Source organism: Homo sapiens, chromosome 11 (genome assembly GCF_000001405.40).
Source record: "Homo sapiens chromosome 11, GRCh38.p14 Primary Assembly".
In the NCBI taxonomy this organism is placed as follows: Eukaryota; Metazoa; Chordata; class Mammalia; order Primates; family Hominidae; genus Homo; species Homo sapiens.
The window spans coordinates 55,633,313-55,640,309 of NC_000011.10; the positions used below are offsets into that span (position 1 = coordinate 55,633,313).

Sequence of the window (6,997 nt, forward strand, 5' to 3'; positions counted from 1 at the left end):
ATCTCTTGGAACTAATAAATGAATTTAGCAAATTCATAGGATACATAGTCCACATACAAAATCAACTGCATTCTTACATATGAGCAATGAAAAATTGAAATCTAAAATTAAAAAAAGTGTAACACCTATTTGCATATAAATTTAATAAAATATGTGCAAGGTCTGTGTGCAGAAAACTATAAAACACTGACGAAATAAATTAAAGATGATCTAAGCAAACTCAGAGATATACCACGGTCATTGATTAGAAGATTCAGTATTGTTAAGACACCGATTTCTCCAATGAATTTTAGATTTAATGCAATCACAATAAAAATTCCAGCAAGCTTTTTGTTTTAATAGATATCAACAAGTTGATTCTGAAATTCACACAAAAAGGCAAAGGAACTGGAAGAGCTAACATAATTCCAGAAAACAACATTGGAGGGTCCAGATGACCAAATTTCCAGACTTATTAAAAGTTATAGTAATCAAGGCAGTGTGTTATTGGTGACAATGTAGATACATAAATCAAAATACAGGACCCAGAAATAGGACAATAAATATAGATAACTGACTTTTGACAAAAGAGAGAATGTAATTTGATAGAGAAAGGATAAGCTTTTTATCAAATAATATTAGAAAAGCTGAATGTTCATATGCAAAAATGAGCCTAGATCCATGCCTCACAGCATATACTATATAGATTAAAATGTGTTAAAGACCTAAAAGTACTCTAAACTTGCCTTTAAAGAACTTGGGAAGATATACTTAGATGCTTTCTGTTAAGGGGGAAGAGAATCCCTGGAGTAGGAGAGTGTTTTGAGTAAACAAATACAGCTAGAAAAATGAATGGGCACAAATGTCTGCAAGAAAAGCCAAGAGGAACATAAGGGACCCCATGGAGAAAATGCTAACATCTGAAAACAATATGAAAACACTGACTAAATCAAGGGTGGGGGAAGACATATAACAAACAGAGAGAAAAAAAAATGTTGAAAAAGAAAGTTTAATTGGCTTGTAAGAAATAGACTGATCATAAGCAGAACTTCCAGAATCCTTTGGTAATAGTACTTTAGGGGCAAAGCAAACTTACAGGTTGAATTAATTTTTTAATACCTTGGTCTATGACCTTAGGGTATTATTATACTTTTATTATTTTAATGTTCTAATCATTAAATAAGACACAGATAAATTAATGCACAGAATAATGAATAATTATAAAGAGAGATCCCATATAACTCCCCCTCAAGGCAAGAAATGGCATTTCTGTTATTTCAGTTGCATCCTCTTTCTCTCCCTATTTGTAATCTGTATCCTAGAAGCATCACTTCCTTGCCTTGTAACTATTTTATGCCCTAGGTTCTTCATCTCTGAAATGCAAATGGTAGTGATATCTATCCTGTAGTGTTGTTACAAAGATAAATAAGGTAAATGTCAATTTGTTCATTATGACATAGAGTAAATGTTTACTAAATATTTGCTCTTATTAGTGGTGCTCACATAACAAAGCAAAAGCAAGGACTAGCTTTGAATATAGATGTAAAAAAGGAAAAGCTTATTGAAAATGACATGACCAATGCAAAATTACAGAATGTTCAACGGTATTGTTGACAAATATTAAAATGAATATTTTGTAAACTCAAAAAAGTTATACTTTTCCTGACAAGTCACCTTAAAGGTAAATAAAGTATGTAAGAACACATACTTCTTCCCCAGAGAACATGATGAAAGCACTGCATGGGAATTGATGGAAGTAATTTTCTTACATAAGAACCAGAACTAGAGTTTCCCTCTCAGATTATAGAGAATGGAAAAAGAAACTCAAATTGCATAAACGGCAGATCTCAGTCATAAAAATCTTTGTATTAAATAGGATTCAAGTTACATGCTCTGGTAACGTGGGTCTAAGAGGATGCTAATTGGTGAGTTGATTACATGGGGGACATATAAATAATTAACTGTAAGTAAGTAAGAAATGCCTTGGGAAGAAATAAAAATGTAACTTTAGAATATAGCCTTTACCTAAAATTTTGCCTGGCATTTGAGCTTGAACACCTTCAGAAATCACTTGGTTCTCTTTGGACTATGATTTGAGTAGTTTTTGAAAACAAGGCAAGTACTCCTCTTGCCTTCAAACTTTTTTTTATGGGGTGGCCTCCCATCATTTATTTGATTTGGTGATATGACAGGTAATAGTTACTAACATGGTATGAATTTTGTGTTTGCTTGTGCATAAGTTGGGGAAAATAGAAAGTGAAATATCAGTAGCATTCAACATGCTGAAGATGTCAAGTCAGATGTTGCAAAGAAACAATTTAAATAGTTAGGGAATGACTACTTTCAATGAAGAGAGGACAGAATCGACTATAAAGGAAAAAGGAAGAGATTCTGAATAAATTCAGAGCATATGTGAGTCAATTATTTTTTTCTCTCTTAGCATTGCCCTCATAAACATGTGATATTTGTTGAAAATATATTTTTTACTCCTGTGTTAAGAAATCATATTAAGCAGTTGCTAATTTTTAAACAAGCTGTACTGCAAATTCTATAGACTAAGACATTTTTGGATTAAATGAACACTAAGCTTAAGGAGGACCTGATTGTCCACTGGGGATGAGATGACATATTCTAGAAAAATAAGATAAATGTCAACAGATAATAGCACCTACTTTCTTGGAGAACTGCATGTGAGAAAAGGGACATGCTGTTACAACTCTTGAGAGATAGCCTGAAAAACTTTGACAAAAAAGAAAGTAATTCTGAAAATGATATTGTGAGAAGAGTTCTTAGATAGAATTGAGGCTAGTGTCCTCATTTTGCAGAAAGGAAACATATGCGCCAAGAATATAAGGTCATAAATCTAAGTGGCAGTGTTAGGGTATACACTCAAATCACTTTTCCCCCAGCAATTTTTCTTACGGGGACAATAGCTGAAAATGCAGTATTGCTATTCATGTTTGGGAGAACAAAATATATCTTGCTTCCTGCAGAAATATGTGAGCTGTACTTTTGTTGCTTTCTAGAGCTGGCTTATATAAGGATCCTGAACTGATTCAGTTTGTGTTTTTAATAAATACTTTGGCCTAATTTATAGTTCTATATTTCAACTTAGACATTTTCCATTTAAGTATCACTGTCTAAAATGGAGCGATGACTGAAATTCAAGAAGTGTCCTACTTTGCCTGAGAAATTCAGACATGTATGCAAACTTCAGAGTTGGGACAGTCAGGATTAATGTTCAGTTTATCCCGTGTGAGTTTTCTTACTTTCACATGGACATATGGTGAGAGGGTTATAAATTCAGACTTTGGAGTCAGAGAACTCAGATTTTAAGCCTTAGTTTGCTATATACCATTTGTGTTACTATGTACAATTTCCTAAAGCTCTAGAATCCTAATGTAATTTTCATGTGTTTTCCTTGTGATATATTGATATTAGCACAACGATATCATCCCTTGTACACTATTTTATTCTTTTAAATGTCCTTTATCATCTATTATTAAGGTTGAGCTTCAGCATCAATCTCTAAGTACACAGAGGAAGACATATTTCCTTACATTTAAAGTGAAGATAAAGCATTTTAAAACAAGTTATAAAATTTGCAAGATTACATTTGAAGTTAGTGGCTGAATTAAGACAAGTAACGGGGATTGCCTCCAAATTATAAAGCATGATTAGATTTTTACTGGTAAATTAAAAAAAAGCACTAACATTGTAGTAGTTAAACATGGTGGTTCTATGTCTGTAAAAAAGTTGAACCCAGAAGAAAAATTGCCAGGTAGAGAATTTAGTCATCAGCTGTAGCTGACAAAACCAAGACAACAATTATAGGGATTCAAATTACGTTGTTAGTAAACTTACAGTAAATGAAGACAGATTGATGCACTGGTTTTGTCTGAGAACATTCTGTGCCTTACTTTACTTACAGGCTTAATTTTATGTAAGAGTCTTAATATGCTTGTTGGGGTTAAGAAGTGTATTTCAGGTGGGTTTTAAATAACATACATAAATTTGTGAAAATGGAAATGTATAAGAAGCAATTTTAAGAATAATTCAAACTAGTAGTGTATTCAATATTATAATTTTCTTCTTCAAATAAAATGAAATTGCCTTTCTTATTTATTGGCAAAGATTAGTGTGATTATGGAGAAGATCATAACCTTTTTCTCAAAAAAGTGCCTTTAATCTAATTCTAGTTCTTGAAATTCCACTATGAAAATGAATGTCTTCTTGAAATTTCAATTTCTATTACAATGAAATTATTCATTGTATTGGTAACAATGTTAACTTGGTAACATGGAGAGATGAGGAAGAAATTTAAGGGGGTTTAAGAAGTCAAGAATGAAATTAGGGCTGAAAATGTATATTATAAATGGACAGTCATTCTGAGGACATCTGGTAAGAATTAATTAAAATATTTTGATGTAATATTATTTTTAGAAAGCAATGAAACACATTGGATAATTCAGTGTCATCTTTGCAGCAACATTCAAGACTAACAACTTAAGATATGTTTGTTCACCACCTACAACGTTGGTTTTAGTTTATGCAATCAAATCCCATTTGTTGATATCAATATTGCTAATGCTTAGTGCTATGGTTAATTCAATGAATTTTCTACATTATTTAAAAAATAATATTTGTATGACTTGTTTCCTTAATAAATTTTGAATCCCAGAGAGTAAAAGCAGTATCCTTTGCAAGGAATTATTTTGTATTACAATATTGTATATTACATTAGACTTTGGAAATAAACATTCCCTATGATAGAATTTTAATATTGTTGATTGAACAATAGAATTCATACCTACTAGGGCAGGGATTGATCACAGTGTGCTAGAGAGCTAATGGAAATCATCTAGTATATATATACATGGAGAGTCTTATTAGAAAGCCATTTTAATTGAATACCAGATATTTACTCTCTGAACCACTTGAATGAGGTAAATTAAATCTAGCTAGTTCCTCAAATAAAATATGATCATTGTACTTCTTAACAAAGACTTGTAAGCTTATAAATTATGTCATTTCAGGTGACTTATATGTTCTATCTACACTGGACCATGGAAAAAAGCAATAATAGCACTTTGTTTATTCTCTTGGGGTTTTCCCAAAATAAGAACATTGAAGTCCTCTGCTTTGTATTATTTTTGTTTTGCTACATTGCTATTTGGATGGGAAACTTACTCATAATGATTTCTATCACGTGCACCCAGCTCATTCACCAACCCATGTATTTCTTCCTCAATTACCTCTCACTCTCCGACCTTTGCTACACATCCACAGTGACCCCCAAATTAATGGTTGACTTACTGGCAGAAAGAAAGACCATTTCCTATAATAACTGTATGATACAACTCTTTACCACCCATTTTTTTGGAGGCATAGAGATCTTCATTCTCACAGGGATGGCCTATGACCGCTATGTGGCCATTTGCAAGCCCCTGCACTACACCATTATTATGAGCAGGCAAAAGTGTAACACAATCATCATAGTTTGTTGTACTGGGGGATTTATACATTCTGCCAGTCAGTTTCTTCTCACCATCTTTGTACCATTTTGTGGCCCAAATGAGATAGATCACTACTTCTGTGATGTGTATCCTTTGCTGAAATTGGCCTGTTCTAATATACACATGATAGGTCTCTTAGTCATTGCTAATTCAGGCTTAATTGCTTTGGTGACATTTGTTGTCTTGTTGTTGTCTTATGTTTTTATATTGTATACCATCAGAGCATACTCTGCAGAGAGACGCAGCAAAGCTCTTGCCACTTGTAGTTCTCATGTAATTGTTGTGGTCCTGTTTTTTGCACCTGCATTGTTCATTTACATTAGACCGGTCACAACATTCTCAGAAGATAAAGTGTTTGCCCTTTTTTATACCATCATTGCTCCCATGTTCAACCCTCTCATATACACGCTGAGAAACACAGAGATGAAGAACGCCATGAGGAAAGTGTGGTGTTGTCAAATACTCCTGAAAAGAAATCAACTTTTCTGAATTGTTTCTGCTTTTCATGCCGTGGTTCCCTGATGAATGAGAAAAATTCACTCTCATCTTGCTCTTGTCCTTAATGTTTGGAGAGAAAAGTGGGCAAACAGGAAGCATATCCCTTCTGTGGTTTTATACTTCTACATTGACATCTCTTTAACAAATTGAACATTATTCTTATCCATACTCTCCTCCGCCTTTCTTAATCATTACGATTGTGCTTATGTGACATGAAATAACCAGAAAATTTCTTAAAAATAAAGGATTACATGGCGTTGTGTTGAAAAAATAAAACAGATTATGTGTTTTTTGTGCCTTAAAGTTCTGAGAAGATCAATGAAATATTACTCTCAGCTTTTACATTTTTACTCAAGTCTAAACACAGAAAATGCATGTATTGCCTGTGTACAGCTCACGAATTTTTGCAAACTGAGCATGATTGTGAAATCAGCAACTGAATTAAGAGACAGAAATTATCAGCACATCAGAGGTCCTCCTTATTCCTCTTTATGATTAATACCTCCCAAAGTTAACCACAATATTTATTCCTAAAATAAATAGTTTTCGGCTGGGCACGGTGCCTCATGCCTGTAATACCAGCACTCTGGGAGGCTGAGGTGGGTGGATCATGAGGTCAGGAATTCGAGACCAGCCTGGCCAAGATGGTGAAACCCCGTCACTACTAAAAATACAAAAATTAGCTGGGCGCAGGGGCGAGCACCTGTAATCCCAGCTACTCGAGAGGCTGAGGCAGGAGAATCGCTTGAACTCGGGAAGCGGAGGTTGCAGTGAGCCGAGATCATGCCACGGCACTCTAGCCTGGGTGACAGAACAAGATTCCGTCTGAAATAATAATAATAATAATGATAATAATAATAATAATAATAATGTTTTTATCTTTTCTTGTACTTTGAAGAGTAAGAGTGATTTACATTTTGTTGCTGCGTGTGTGTCTTCTTAGTGTTTCATTTGTGAGTCATTTCTCATGTTGGTAAGTTTTCTGACTGTTTTCATTGATGTAT

The 6,997-nt window shown here is 33.7% G+C and overlaps 1 protein-coding gene across 2 annotated transcripts; it reads left to right on the plus strand.

Moving 5' to 3' along the window:
• The first annotated feature begins 1,800 nt into the window (after positions 1-1,800).
• On the plus strand, positions 1,801-6,997 carry OR4P4 (olfactory receptor family 4 subfamily P member 4). 2 transcript variants are annotated; one of them, NM_001405919.1, is made up of 2 exons: positions 1,801-1,904; positions 5,016-6,997. In NM_001405919.1, the coding sequence occupies exon 2, from the start codon at positions 5,046-5,048 to the stop codon at positions 5,982-5,984; it is 939 nt and encodes a 312-aa protein (NP_001392848.1). In that variant the 5' UTR covers positions 1,801-1,904; positions 5,016-5,045; the 3' UTR covers positions 5,985-6,997. The 2 variants fall into 2 exon arrangements, with proteins under 2 accessions (NP_001392848.1, NP_001004124.1); NM_001004124.2 differs by lacking the exon at positions 1,801-1,904 and having other exon boundaries at positions 5,046-5,984.

Bases quoted from the DNA above. Each gene is read 5' to 3' on its own strand.
- OR4P4 (NM_001405919.1), top strand. From the start codon at position 5,046: ATGGAAAAAAGCAATAATAGCACTTTGTTTATTCTCTTGGGGTTTTCC.